The sequence below is a fragment of the Homo sapiens genome, chromosome 8 (genome assembly GCF_000001405.40).
Source record: "Homo sapiens chromosome 8, GRCh38.p14 Primary Assembly".
Taxonomy (NCBI): Eukaryota; Metazoa; Chordata; class Mammalia; order Primates; family Hominidae; genus Homo; species Homo sapiens.
The window spans coordinates 48,008,405-48,023,527 of NC_000008.11; the positions used below are offsets into that span (position 1 = coordinate 48,008,405).

The 15,123-nt window shown below is 45.3% G+C and overlaps 1 protein-coding gene across 3 annotated transcripts in view, besides 1 other annotated feature; it reads left to right on the forward strand.

Annotated features, from left to right (window-relative positions):
* UBE2V2 (ubiquitin conjugating enzyme E2 V2) overlaps nucleotides 1-15,123 on the forward strand; it is a 67,272-nt gene that overhangs the window by 10,968 nt on the left and 41,181 nt on the right. The window contains exon 1 of one of the 3 annotated variants that reach the window (NM_003350.3): nucleotides 27-66. The exons of the other annotated variants lie outside the window; for them this stretch is intronic. Coding sequence (NP_003341.1) covers nucleotides 51-66 — 16 coding nt within the window. The 5' untranslated portion in view covers nucleotides 27-50. Of the gene's footprint in view, nucleotides 1-26; nucleotides 67-15,123 lie in introns of those variants that run through there. 3 annotated transcript variants of the gene reach the window in all.
* Nucleotides 223-422: a silencer, noted in NCBI's record as "silent region_19181". NCBI's record gives its function as "represses an Ori minimal core promoter by ATAC-STARR-seq in GM12878 lymphoblastoid cells {active_cell/tissue: GM12878}" and the evidence as "EXISTENCE:reporter gene assay evidence [ECO:0000049][PMID:35858748]".

The following is a 15,123-nucleotide window of genomic DNA, read 5'->3' on the forward strand; positions in this document are numbered from 1 at the left end:
GCGACGGTTCGTGCGTGCGTGCGGGCGGCTGCGTCGGGCTGCAGGAGAAGATGGCGGTCTCCACAGGTCGGTTCCCGGGCCGGGCTGCGTGATTTTCCGCTCCGACCCGGCTCTGCCCCTCCGTCTGCTGCTGGCGCCCGAGCGCTGACCGTGCGGGAGAAGCCCGAGTGCGCTGTCTCGAATGCCGCGCTCTCCGCAGAGCGTAGCCTGGGACCGGGTGGGACCGGCGCCGAGGCCCCGGCGGCCGTCGGGTTGGCGGGTCGTGCTCGCGCGTCGGCCGCGCGCCGGCGGGCTGGGGGCGGGGTGGCTCCCGCGCGGGCGCCCCCGTAGGTTCCGGCGGGCGCGGGTCCGAGTTGTAGGCTGAAGGCTCTACGGGAGGGAGGCGAGGAGGCCCAAGGTGGGCGGGTGTCAACCTCCGGCACCGAAGATGGGTCAGGCCAACCGGCACCGAAGATGGGTCAGGCCAAGAGGTGTCCTGGATCAGAGTAGGGGTCCCATTCCTTTGGACTCTCCTTGACATGGGTTGGGGAGTAGAGGACGATTGCTCCTTAAAATAAGAGCGAGAGGATCTTTCTTACCTGACTGAATACGTGTGATCTTTTTATTATTTATGAGGAAAACTGCAGTGCAAACAAAATAAAAGACCAGAGCAAGATGAAAGCTAATTGAAGAACAAGTGGTTTCTTAGATAAGCTGTTCAACTCCTCTTTCCTACTGAATACAATGTTTGGTTTCCTGTGAGCACACAAGTATTAACGTTGAGGTTTTAGACATTAGACCATTTCAGAAATGTTAAAAACGTTAAGCTTTAGTTTACATTTAAAAATGTTAACCCGTGTGATCTGCCTTTTTCTTTTCTTTTCTTTTTTTTTTTTTTTTTGAGTCAGAGGCTCACCCTGTTGCCCAGTTGGAATGCAGTGGTGTGATCTCGGCTCACTGCAACCTCCACCTCCCAGGTTCAAGTGATTCTCCTGCCTCAGCCTCCCAAGTAGCTGGGATTACAGGCGCGTGCCACCAGGCCCGGCTAATTTTTGTATTTTTAGTAGAGACGGGGTTTTGTCATGTTGGCCAGACTGGTCTCGAACTCCTGACCTCAGGTGATCCGCCCACTTCGGCCTCCCAGAGTGCTGGAATTACAGGTGTGAGCCACCGCGCTCGGCCTGATCTGCCTTTTCCTAGTCTTCGTTGAAACAAGAGTATAGAGCAGTGTGATTTAATAGTTTATGCCATCATTGCATAATAAAATGAATTTTCAAATCTATATGTACTGAAATGGAAGGCTTTGAATATATGTTGTAATTGTTGCTTTAGAGTAATACCTCAGGATACATTCTGCATACATTTTAATTAAGTGGTGTCTTTTACATCTTTATTACATATAGGTGTCATAGGTTTTAAGATCTTTAGCAGTTCTAGTGTTGGGGTAGTATACATACTTGGGTCAGCTAGCTAGTAAGGCAAGGATTGTTTTAAAAGTGGAATTTTAGTGTTATGACTTTACTGTGCTTGCTGAAATCTAATCTGTGCTCGTTAACGGGGCCATATCTTTATAACAGTTGTGCTTAGGACCTCTTATAGATTTTTGAAAATTTAGTAATAAAATAATGCATTTTAATTTAATACTTTTCATTTTCCTTTTGTGGGTTGCATTATTAAACACAATTTTTTCATAACACTATACATGAGTGTATGTTAATATTTTGAAAAGACCAAAGGTTAGATGATATTAATGGCAAATACTTTTTGTTAATCACTTTTAGTTGTTTTGGAAGTTGAATATAAATTATAAAGATTACTGATAAATTATTAGCATATTGTACATAGGGAGTCTGTATTTTTTTTTTTTTTTTGAGATGGAGTCTCGCTGCATTGCCCAGGCTGGAGTGCAGTGGCATGATCTTGGCTCACTGCACCCTCCTCACCTCAGGTGATCCACCCGCCTCAGCCTCCCAAAGTGCTGGATTACAGGGGTGAGCCACCGTTCCCATCTACTAGTTTTTTTTTTTTTTTTTTTTGAGACGCAGTCTTGCTCTGTCACCCAGGCTGGAGTGCAGTGGCGCGATCTCGGCTCACTGCAACCTCCGCCTCCCGGGCTCAAGCGATTCTCCTGCCTCAGTCTCCTGAGTAGCTGGGACAACAGGCGCGTGCCACCATGCCCAGCTAATTTTTTGTATATTTAGTAGAGACGGGGTTTCACCATATTGGCCAGGATGGTCTTGATCTCTTGACCTCGTGATCCGGCCTCCCAAATTGCTGGGATTACAGGTGTGAGCCACTGCGCCTGGGTTTGTTTGTTTTTTTTTTTTTTTGAGACTGAGTCTCTCGCTTCTTTGCCCAGGCTGGAGTGCAAGGGCATGATCTCGGCTCACTGCAACTTCCACCTCCCTGGTTCAAGCAATTCCTCTGCCTCAGCCTCTTGAGTAGCTGGGATTACAGGTGCATGCCACCACGCCCAGCAAATTTTTTTGTATATATATATTTTTTTTGTATTTTTTTTTTTTTTTTTAGTAGGGACAGGTTTTCATCATGTTGTCCAGACTGGTCTCAAACTCCTGACCCCAGGCAATCCGCCCACCTTGGCCTCCCAAAGTGCTGGGATTACAGGTGTGAGCCACAGTGCCCAGCCTATTAATTAGTTTTAATTTTACTATTAGCTATACTTTTGTTTGCTTTTTGGTAACATGGGAAGTAAATAGTACCTGTGTATTTGTGAAAGCAGCATGATACAGCTTAAAATTTAAAATTAGATGAGCTACATCGATGTAATGCACGTGTTTGTTTGAAACGGAGTCTCGCCTTGTTGCTCAGGCTGGAGTGCAATGGTGCGATCTCGGCTGACTGCAGCCTCTTCCTCCTGGGTTTAAGCAATTCTCCTGCCTCAGCATTCTGAGTAGCTGGGTTTACAGGCATGCACCACCACGCCCAGCTAATTTATTGTATATATATTTTTTCTAGTAGAGATGGGGTTTCACCATGTTGGCCAGGCTGGTCTCAAACTGCTAACCTCAGGTAATCCATCTGCTCCGGCCTCCCAAAGTTCTGGGATTACAGGCATAAACCACTGAGCTTGGTCTAATACACGTGTTTTTTATTTAAGCCAAAGTATCTCGATAACAGTTGTTTAAGAGGCCAAAAAGAAAAACCCTGACAAATATGTTTTGATCTTTAGTTCAGTGTGCATCATATACCTTAGCCCCTTTAACCCTTCCTTCTACTGGAAGAGAATTTTGGAAGGAAAAAACTTTTAATTAGACTGAGACTTTTTGAGACGGAGTCTTGCTGTGTTGCCCAGGTTGGAATGCAGTGGCATGCGATCATGGCTCACTGCAGCCTCGACCTGCTGGGGTCAGGTGATCCTCCTACCTCAGCCTCCCGAGTAGCTGCGAACACAGGCACGCATTGCCACACCTGGCTAATTTTTAAATTATTTGTAGAGACAGGGTCTCCGTATGTTATCCAGTGTAGTCTGAACTCCTGGACTCAAGTGACCCTCCTGCCCTGGCCTGAGGTTAGGATTACAGGTTTGAGCCACTGTGCCTGGCCAGACGGAGACTTCTAAGCAGAAACATTTTTGGCCATCCCATCTGGTCTTCTTATTTTGCAGATGAGAAAACTGAGGCTCAAACAAGTAAAAGGCTATACATAGGTGGTTACTAGTACAGGCAAGACTAGAATCCAGGTCTTTTACCCTTAGTCTGATGCGCTCTCCATTATGAAGAACTCTGAATTTGGAATATTTCTCAGAACATGAATCTTAATTACTCCCTTTCACACTTCCCTTCTTAGCACAATCCTTGTTTCAGACTCTTAGATCCTTCTTATGGATGAAAGGGGAACGTAGCCCTCACCAGCTAGGTTCTCCTTTTCCAAGAGACAGAGTTACCCATGCAATTCAAGAGTATTTCACAGGACAGAGGTTAAGAAGCTACTCTCGGGAATAGAAATTTGATACTGTTTAGTACTCATGATTCAAAATTTTATTAGATTCCAGCATTAATAATAACAATTAGTTTAGATAGAAAAGTATGTGCAGGCCGGGTGGGGTGGCTCACACCTGTAATCCCAGCACTTTGGGAGGCCGAGGTGGGCGGATTACCTGAGGTCGGGAGGTTGAGACCAGCTGGACCAACATGGAGAAACCATGTCTCTACTAAAAATACAAAATTATCCGGGCGTGGTGGCACATGCCTGTAATTCCAGCTACTCGGAAGGCTGAGGCAGGAGAATCTCTTGAACCCGGGAGGCAGAGGTTGTGGTGAGCCGAGAGCACGCCATTGCATTCCAGCCTGGGTAAGAAGAGTGAGACTCCATCTCAGAAAAAAAAAGAAAAAAAGCGTGTGCAATAGTTTTAAAAAAATACAATAGTTTTAGTTTTACAGAAAAGTTGTGAAGATAGTACAGAAAGTTTCCATGCACCTCACATTCAGTTTTCCCTGTCAATTTCCTTTTTTTTTCTTTCGGGATGGAGTCTTGCTCTGTCGCCCAGGCTAGAGAGCAGTGGCGTGATCTGGGCTCACTGCAACCTCTGCCTCCTGGGTTCAAGTGATTCTCCTGCCTCAGCCTCCCGAGTAGCTGGGATTACAGGTGTGTGCTGTCACACCCGGATAATTTTTTGTATTTTTAGTAGAGACAGGGTTTCACCATGTTGGCCAGGCTGGTTTCAAACTCCTGGCCTCATGATCCGCCCGCCTTGGCCTCCCAAAGTGCTGGGATCACTGGTGTGAGCCACTGCATCTGGCTTCGCTGTTAATTTCTTATATTGGTATGGTACACTTGTCACAATTAAGGAACCAATATTGACACATTTATTATTAACTAAAGTTCAGATTTCCTTAGTTTTTCTTTAATGTACTTTTGCTGTCCTAGGACTTCATCCAGGATACCACATTACATTGTAACGTGAAACTTTTTTTTTTTTTTTGAGATGAAGTCTCGCTCTGTGGCCCAGGCTGGAGTGCAGTGGCGTGATCTTGGCTCACTGCAAGCACTGCCTCCTGGGTTCATGCCATTCTGTGGCCTCAGCCTCCGAAGTAGCTGGGACTATAGGCGCCTGCCACCATGCCCGGTTAATTTTTTTTGTATTTTTAGTAGAAGTGGGGTTTCACCGTGTTAGCCGGGATGGTCTCGATCTCCTGACCTCGTGATCCATCCGCCTCGGCCTCCCAAAGTGCTGGGATTACAGGCGTGAGCCACCGCGCCCGGCCCACATGAAACGTTTTACATTTATCACTTAGGTAATATTAATGGTACAGTGAAGCTCTAGTCTCTGACTGTAGATGCCTGGAAAATGTCTTTGAGTTATGAGAAACTCAGAAAAAATTGATGAAAGAATATGTTTTCTGCTATGTAGGCAGAAAACAAAACCAAAATATAACCTACTAATTGCCTTCTTCAGAAGTGGGTAGCATTGTATATACTGGAAGAACTAGTTTAGCAGTGTTCTGAGTTCCCTGCTGCCCCTGACAGACTACTGTGCCACCATGGGCATGTCAGTTAATCACTAAACATTGCTTTTCCCATCCCATCTGTGAAAAGATTGGACAACATCATCTTGTTTTCCTCTTTAGATGAAGATACTTGGATATGGACAGAACTCGGGTGTGGTGATAGAAGAGAATTACATAGTTTAAATCATAACCTAGAACTTGGGAACTAAACGATAGAAGAGCTGAACTATGGTAGTCTAGTGTATTTCCCTCTTGAGGCTTCCATAACTGGCCTGGTTGATTTTTCTAGGTCATTTGGGAGCCTGAATTCTCTTGATAAACATGCTTTTGATAATATGGTACAACCTCACTGTACAGGCAGTCCTTTGAACGGCAGTTGGCAGAGGTAAAAATGGCCATGCAAAAAACTACCCAAAGCAGTCTTAATAATTGGGAAAATTATGGTTATTCTGAGACCTTCAAAAATGTCAACACATTAAGAACTCTCCCTGTTTAGAAATATGCAGGAAAGGGCCGGGCATGGTGGCTCACGCCTGTAATCCCAGCACTTTGGGAGGCTGAGGGGGGCGGATCACGAGGTCAGGAGATGGGAGACCATCCTGGCTAACACAGTGAAACCCTATCTCTACTAAAAATACAAAAAATTAGCCGAGTGTGGTGATGGGCGCCTGTAGTCCCAGCTACTCGGGAGGCTGAGGCAGGAGAATGGTGTGAACCTGGGAGTCGAAGCTTGCAGTGAGCTGAGATTGCTCCACTGCACTCCAGTCTGGGCAACAGAGAGAGACTCTGCCTCAAAAAAAAAAAAAAAAAAAATGTGCAGGAAAATGAAACCAGTAAAATTAATATTTAGTATGTCATAATTTAAAGTATCAGATATTAAGAATTAAAATGTTTTATTTCATTAAAAAAAGCTTGTTGGCTGGGCGTGGTGGCTCACGCCCGTAATCCTAGCACTTTGGGAGGCCGAGGTGGGTGGTTCACGAAGTCAAGAGATCAAGACCATCCTGGCTAACATGGTGAAACCCCGTCTCTACCAAAAATACAAAAAACTAGCCGGGCGTGGTGACAGGCACCTGTAGTCCTGGCTACTGGGGAGACTGAAGCAGTAGAATGGCATGAACCCGGGAGGCGGAGCTTGCAGTGAGCTGAGATTGTGCCACTGCACTCCAGCCCGAGTGACAGAGCGAGACTCCATCTCCAAAAAAAAAAAAAAAAAAAAATAAGGCTTGTCAAGAGTAGCTTGAGGCTGGGTGCAGTGGCTTCCACCTGTAGTCCCAGCACTTTGGGAGGTCGAGGTGGGTGGATTACTAGAGCCTAGGAGTTCAAGACCAGCCTGGGCAATACAAGAAAATCCCATCTCTACAAAAAATGCAAAAATTAGCTGGGTGTGGTGATGTGCACCTGCAGTCCCAGCTACTTGGGAGGCTGAGGTAGAGTATGGGTTGAGCCTGGGAGGTTGAGGCTGCAGTGAGCTGTGATCGTGTCACTGCACTCCTGCCTGGGCGACAGAGCAAGACACTGTGTCAAAAAAAAAATTAATTTGAACAATGCTTGCTAATGTTTTGAAGTACATTATCTGTACATTGTGGAATGGTTAAATCTAGCTAATTACCAAATACATTATCTCACATAGTTATCATTTTTGTGGTGAGAATACTTAATAGCTACTGAGTATTTTTCAAGAATACAGTATGTTGTTAACTAATCACCATGCTATACAGTAGTGCTCTTAAACTTGTTCCTCCTGACTGTAATTACGTATCCTTTGTCTAACATCTTCCCAATCCCCACCCCCGTAACCCCAACCATCCTAACCTCTGGTAACCACCATCTCCTGTCTACTTCTGTGAGATCAATTTTGACTCCATATATGAGTGAGATAATATGTATTTGTCTTTCTGTGCCTGTGTTATTTCAGTTAACATAATGTTCTCCAGGTTCATCCATGTTGTTGGAAATGAGAGAATTTCCTTCTTTTTTATGATTGGAACAGTGTCCCACTGTATACGTATACCACATGTTCTTTATCCATTTGTCTGTGTGGTTTTTTTTTTTTTTTTTTTTGAGACGGAGTCTCACTCTGTCACCCAGGCTGGAGTGCAGTGGCGCGTTCTCAGCTCACTGCAACCTCCACCTCCTGGGTTCAAGCAATTCTCCTGCCTCAGGCTCCCTAGTAGCTGGGATTACTGGCACCCGCCGCCAAGCCCGGCTAATTTTTGTATTTTAGTAGAGATGGGGTTTCACCATATTGGCCAGGTTGGTCTCAAACTCCTGACCTCAAGCAATCCATCTGCCTCGGCCTCCCAAAGTATGGGGATTACAGGCGTGAGCCACCGCGCTCAGCCTATCCATTTGTTGGTTGATGGATACTTAGGTTGATTCTATATCTTGCATATTTTGAGTAGTGCTGCAATAAAATGGGAGTGCAGGCCTCTCTTTGACATACTGATTTTATTTTCTTTGGCTATATATGCAGTAGCAGGATTACTGGATCATACGGTAGCTCTGTTTTTAGGTTTTTGAGGAACTCCATACTCTTCTTTCTCCATATGGTTGTACTAATTCACATTCCCACCAACAGCATGCTTAGATTATCCTTTATCACCACATACTCACCAACACTTGTTATCTGTCATCTTTTTTTTTTTGAGACGGAGTTTGGCTCTTGTTGCCCAGGCTGGAGTGCAATGGCATGATCTCGGCTCATTGCAACCTCCACCTCCTGGGTTCAAGCAATTCTCCTGCCTCAGCCTCCCGAGTAGCTGGGATTACAGCCACGCACCACCATGCCTGGCTAATTTTGTATTTTTATTAGAGACGGGGTTTCTCCATGTTGGTGAGGCTGCTCTCGAACTCCCAACCTCAGGTGATCTTCCCACCTTGGCCTCCCAAGGTACTGGGATTACAGGCGTGAGCCGCCGTGCCCAGCCTTTTTTTTTTTTTTTTTTTAATTGAGACAGAGTCTCGCTCTGTCGCCTAGGCTGGAGTGCAGTGGCGAGATGTCAGTTGACTGCAACCTCCACCTCCAGGTTCAAGCGATTCTCCTGTCTTAGCCTCCCGAGTAGCTGGGATTACAGGCACCCGCCACCATGCCTGGCTAATTTTCATATTGTTAGTAGAGACATGATTTCACCATGTTGGCCAGGCTAGGCTGGTCTCAAACGCCCGACCTCAGGTGATCCACCTGCCTTGGCCTCCCAAAGTGCTGGGATTACAGGCGTGAGCCACTGCGCTTGGCCTCATCTTTCATCCTTTTGATTATAGCCATTTTAATGGGAGTGAGGTGATACCTCATGTGGGTTTTTTTTTGCATTTCTTTGATGATTAGTGATGTTGAGAATTTTTTTCATATACCTCTTGGCCATTTGTATGTCTTTTGAGAAATGTCTATTCAGATCTTTTACCCATTTTTACATGAGGTTATTTTCTTGGTATTGAATGGAGTTCCTTATATATTTTGGTTATTAACCCCTTATCAGATATATAGTTTACGAGTATAGTGAACCATTCTGTATGTTCTCTCTCTCTTTTTTTTTTTTTTGGTGGAGTTTCGCTCTTGTTGCCCAGGCTGGAGTGCAATGGCACGATCTCAGCTCACTGCAAGCTCTGCCTCCTGGGTTCAAGGGATTCTCCTGCTTCAGCCTCCTAAGTAGCTGGGATTACAGGCATGTGCCACCATGCACTGCTAATTTTGTATTTTTAGTAGAGACGGGATTTCTCCATGTTGGTCAGGCTGGTAATAAACTCCCGACCTCAGGTGGTCTGCCTGCCTCAGCCTCCCAAAGTGCTAGGATTACAGGCGAGAGCCACCGCGCCTGCCAGTTCTCTCTTTATTGTTTCCTTTGCAGTGCAGGAGATTTTTAGTTTTATGTGATCCAAATTGTCTGTTTTTGCTTTTGTTGAGTGTGCTTTTGAGGTCATATCCTCCAAAAATCATTGCCCAGACCAATGCCATTGACTTTTCTTCCTGTTTTCTAGTAGTTTCATAGATTGCCTTTTTTTTTTTTTTTTTCCTGAGACAGTCTCAACCTGTCACCCAGGCTGGAGTGCAGTGGCATAGTCACGGCTCGCTGCAGCCTCAACTTCCCAGGCTCTCACCTCAGCCTCCCGAGTAGCTGGGACTACAGGTGCACGCCACCATACCTGGCTAATGTTTTGTATTTTTAGTAGAGATGGGGTTTCGCCATGTTGGCCAGGCTGGTCTCGAACTCCTGACCTCAGGTGATCCACACGCCTCGGCCTCCCAAAGTGCTGGGATTACAGGTGTGAGCCACCATGCCCAGCTGCACAATGCCCAATTTTGCCACTTCTGTTCAACATAATACTGGAAGTCCTAGAAAGAGCAATAAGACAAGAGAAAGAAATACAAGGCATCTTAATTGGAAAAGAAGTTAAACTGTTCCTGTTTGCAGAAGACATATGATGTCAGTGTTTATTGTTATAAAAACTTCTGTCTTAAAACTGCTTTTGCTGTATTCCATAGGCTTTGTATGCTGTGTGTTTCAGTTTTCATTTTTTTCAATAAACTTCCTAATTTGTTTTTTAATATCTTCATTGACCTATTGGTTGTTCAAGAGCATGTGTTTAACTTCCATGTTTTTGTGAATTTTCTGAAGATCCTCCTGTTAATGATTTCTAGTTTTATACCATTGTGGTCAGAAAAGATATTTGATATGATTTCCATCTTCTTAAATTTGTTAAGACTTATTTTGTGGCTTGACATATGATCTATCCTTGAGAATGTTCCATGTGCAGCTTAAAATAATGTATTATGCCACTGTTGAATGGTATGTTCTGTGTATGTCTTTTAGGTCCATTTGTTCTATAGTGTAGCTTAAGTCTCATGTTTCCTTGTTGGCTTTCTGTCTGCATGATCTGTGCATTGCTAATTGTGAGGTGTGAAAATCTCCTACTGTTACTGTAGTACAACCTATCTTTCAGATCTATTAATATTTGCTTTATATATTTAGGTGCTTTGATGTTGGGTGCATATATATTTACAATTATTCTCTTGCTAAATTGACCCCTTTGTTATTACATAATGACCTTCTCTATCTTTTTTTTACAGTTTTTGATTTAAAAATCTATTTTATTGGGGGCCAGGCATAGTGGCTCATGCCTGTAATCCCAGCACTTTGGGAGGCCGAGGCGGGCGGATCACTTGAGATCAGGAGTTCAAGACCAACCTGGCCAACATGGCGAAATCCCATCTCTATTAAAAATACAAAAATTGGACCAGGAGCGGTGGCTCACACCTGTAATCCCAGCACTTTGAGAGGCCAAGGCAGGTGGAGCACGAGGTTGGGAGTTCAAGACCAGCCTGGCCAAAATGGTGAAACCCCATCTCTACTAAAAATACAAAAATTAGCCAGGTGTGGTGGCGGGCGCCTGTGACCCCAGCTACTTGGGAGGCTGAGGCAGAGAATTGCTTGAACCTGGGAGGCAGAGGTTGCAGTAAGCCGAGATCACGGCACTGCACTCCAGCCTGGGTGACAGAACAAGACTCCTGCTCAAAACAAAACAAACAAAAATTGGGCGTGGTGGTGGGCTCCTGTAGTACCAGCTACTCGGGAGGCTGAGGCAGGAGAATCGTGTGAACCTGGGAGTCGGGAGATTGCAGTGAGCCTTGATTGCGCCACTGCCCTCCAGCCTGGGCAACAGAGCGAGACTGTCTCAAAAAAACGGCAGGGCATGGTGGCTCATGCCTGTAATCCCAGCACTTTGGGAGGCTGAGGCTGGCGGATCATGAGGTTAGGAGTTTGAGAACAGCCTGACCAACATGGTGAAACCCCGTCTCTACTAAAAATACAAAAATTAGCCAGGCGTGGTGGCACATGCCTGTAATCCCAGCTACTCAGGAGGCTGAGGCAGGAGAATCACGTGAACCTGGGAGGTGGAGGCTGCAGTGAGCCGAGATTGCGCCACTGCACTTCAGCCTGGGTGACAGAGCTAGACTCCGTTTCAAAAAAAAAAATTAGCCAGGCATGGTGCCATATGCCTATAATTCCACTTGGGAGGCTGAGGCAGGATAATTGCTTGAACTCAGGAGGTGGAGGTTACAGTGAGCCAAGATCCTGCGACTGTACTCCAACCTGGGCAACAGAGTGAGTGAGACTCTGTCTAAAAAGAAAAACAAAAATAATTTTATCTGATATAAGTGAAGCAATTCTTGGGCTTTCTCTCTCTCTGTCTCTCTTTTTTTTTTTTTTTGAGACAAGGTCTCCCTATCTAGGCTAGAGTGCAGTGGCGTGAACATGGCTCACTGCAGCCTTGAACTATTGAGATCAGTGATTTTCCTACCTCAGCCTCCTGTGTAGCTGACCACAGATGCATGCCACTATGCCTTGCTAATTTTTTATATTTTTTGTAGAGATGGGGTCTCAACATGTTGCTCAGGATGCTTTCAAACTCCTGGGCTCAAACAATTTTCCCTCCTTGGCCTTTCAGAATGCTGGGATTATAGGGTCTTGTTCTCTCTTGATTTCCATTTGCATGGCATATCTTTTTCCATTCCTTCACCTTCAGTCTACATGTGTCCGTACAGGTGAGGTGAGTCTTTTATTGGCAGCATATAGTTGGGTCTTGTTTTTTTTAACCATTCAGTCACTCTATGTCTTGATTAAATAATTTAATTCATTTACATTTAGAGTAATTATTGATAGATGAGTTAATACTGCCATCCTGTTAATTGTTTCCTATTTGTTTTGTAGCTCCTTTCTTCCTCTCCTATGGTCTTCTTTGGTGGTTGATTTTCTCTAGTAGTATGTTTTTGATTCCTCGCCTTTTTATTTTTTGAGACAGTGTGTTGCTCTGACCTGGTCATAGCTCACTATAACCTCCAACTCATGGGCTCAAGCCGTCTTCTTGCCTCAGCCTTTGGAGTAGCTAGGACTATAGGTGTGTGCCACCAAACCTGGCTAATTTTATTTTCTTGTAGATACGGGGTCTTGCCATGTTGCGCAAGCGGGTTTGAACTCCTGGGCTGGAGTGATCCTCCTGCCTCAGCCTCCTGAGTAGCTAGGAATGCAGGCATGTGCCACGATGCCCAGCTAATTTTTTTTTTTTTTTTAATTTTTGTAGAGACAACGTCTTGCTATATTGCCCAGGCTAGCTTTGAACTCCTGGCCTCAAGTGCTTCTCCCACCTTGGGCTCCAGAGCACTGGGGTTTCAGGCATGATCCACTCTGCTGGCTTGTTATTGCTTTTTATGTTTTATCTATTATAGGTTTTTTTTTTTTTTTTTAAGATGGATTTTCACTCTTGTTTCCCAGGCTGGAGTGCAATGGCGTGATCCCGGCTCACTGCAACCTCTGCCTCCTGGGTTCAAGCAATTCTCCTGTCTCAGCCTCCTTAGTAGTTGGGCTTACAGGTGGCCGCCACCACGCCCAGCTAATTTTTTGTATTTTTAGTAGAGACAGGGTTTCACTGTGTTGGCTAGGCTGGTCTCGAACCCTTTTTTTTTTTTTTTTTTTTGAGACGGAGTCTCGCTCTGTCGCCCACGCTGGAGTGCAGTGGTGCAATCTTGGCTCACTGTAAGCTCTGCCTCCCAGGTTCATGCCATTCTCCTGCCTCATCCTCCTGAGTAGCTGGGACTACAGGTGCCCACCACCACGCCCGGCTAATATTTTGTATTTTTAGTAGAGATGGGGTTTCACCGTGTTAGTGAGGATGGTCTCAATCTCCTGACCTCGTGATCTGCCCGCCTTGGCCTCCCAAAGTGCTGGGATTACAAGCGTGAGCCACTGCGCCCGGCCGGTCTTGAACTCTTGACCTCAGGTGATCCACCCACCTCATCTTCCCAAAGTGCTGGGATTACAGGTATGAGCCAATGCGCCTGGCTCTCTTTTTTTTTTTGAGATGGAGTTTTGCTCTGTCACCCAGGCTGGAGTGCAGTGGTGTGATCTTGGCTCAGTGCAACCTCTGCCTCCTGGGTTCGAGCAATTCTCCTGCCTCAGCCTCCTGAGTAGCTGCCATTACAGGTATGCGCCACCATGTCTGGCTAATTTTTAGTAGAGACCGGGTTTTACCATGTTGGTCAGGCTGGTCTGGAACTCCTTACCTCAGATGATCCACCTGCCTCAGCCTCCCAAAGTGCTGGGATTGCAGGGGTGAGCCACCACGCCTGGCATATAGGTTTTTGCTTTGTGGTTACCATGAGGCTTACAGAAAAGATCTTACAGTTACAAAAGGTTATTTTAAACTAATAACAACTTAGCCTTGATGGCCTAAAAAATCCTTTATACTTTTACCCTACTCTCCCATTTTGAATTTTTGATGTCACAGTTTGGATCTTTTTTTTTTTTTGGAGACAGTGTCGTTCTTGTCACCCAGGCTGGAGTGCAATGATCTGATCTTGGCTTACTGCAACCTTCGCCTCCCGGGTTCATGTGATTCTCCTGCCTCAGCCTCCTGAGTAGCTGATTACAGGCGGCTGCCACCACACCCCACTAATTTTTGTATTTTTAGTGGAGATGGGGTTTCACCATGTTGGCTAGGCTGCTCTCGAACTCCTGACCTCAGGTAATCCACCTGCCTTGGCCTCTCAAAGTGCTGGGATTACAGGCATGAACCACCACGCCCAGCCTGCATCTTTTTATATTGCATATTCCTTTACAAATTATTGTAGTTACTTTCAATAGTTTTGTCTTTTAACCTTCCTACTAAAGATACAAGTAATTTACACTCCACCATTACAGTATTAGTGTATTCTGAAGTTGACCTTGTGTTTACTTTTCCCAGTGAGTTTTATACTTTCAGATGTTTTTGTGTTACTCATCAGTATCCTTTTCTTTCAGCTTGAAGAACTTCCCATAGCATTTCTTGTAAGGCAGGTCTTGTGGTGATAAACTCCTTCAGCTTTTGCTTGCCTGAGAAAGTCTTTATCCTTTGTTTCTGAAGAACAGCTTTGTCCTGGGACAGACAGCTTTGTCTAAAGGACAGATTTTTTCCTGGTCGCATTTTTTTTTTTTTTTAAAGAGAGACAAGGTCTGTTGCCCAGACTGGTCTTGAACTCTTGGGCTTAAGTGATCTGCCTGCCTCAGCCTCCCAAAGTGCTGGGGTTACAGGTGTGAGCCCAGCCCCTGCGAGCGCTTTAAATGTATCATCTCACTCTCCCCTGGCCTCTAAGTTTTCTGTTGAGAAGTCTGCTGCTAGGTATATTGGAAGTCTCTTATATGTTATTTGCTTCTTTTCTCTTGCTGCCTTGAGGATTCTCTCTTTGTCTTTGATCTTTGACAGTTTGGTTATAACATGTCTTGGAGTAGTCTTATTTGGGTTGAATCTGGTTGGAGACCCTTCAACCTGTAGCCATATACTTATAACTTTCTCCATATTTGTACAGTTTTTTTGCTACTTTTTCTTTAGATATACTTTTTTTTTTTTTTGAGACAGAGTATTGCTCTATCGCCAGGCTGTAGTGCGGTGGCGCGATCTTGGCTCACTGCGACCTCCGCCTCCTGGGTTCAAGTGATTCTCCTGCCTCAGCCTCCTGAGTAGCTGTGACTACACGCACGCACCACCACGCTCAGCTGATTTTTGTATTTTTAGTAGAGACGGGGTTTCACCATGTTTGCCAGGCTGGTCTTGAATTCCTGACATCAGGTGATCCACCTGCCTCGGCCTCCCAAAGTGCTGGGATCACAGGTGTGAGCCACCATGCCCAGCCTAACATGAAACT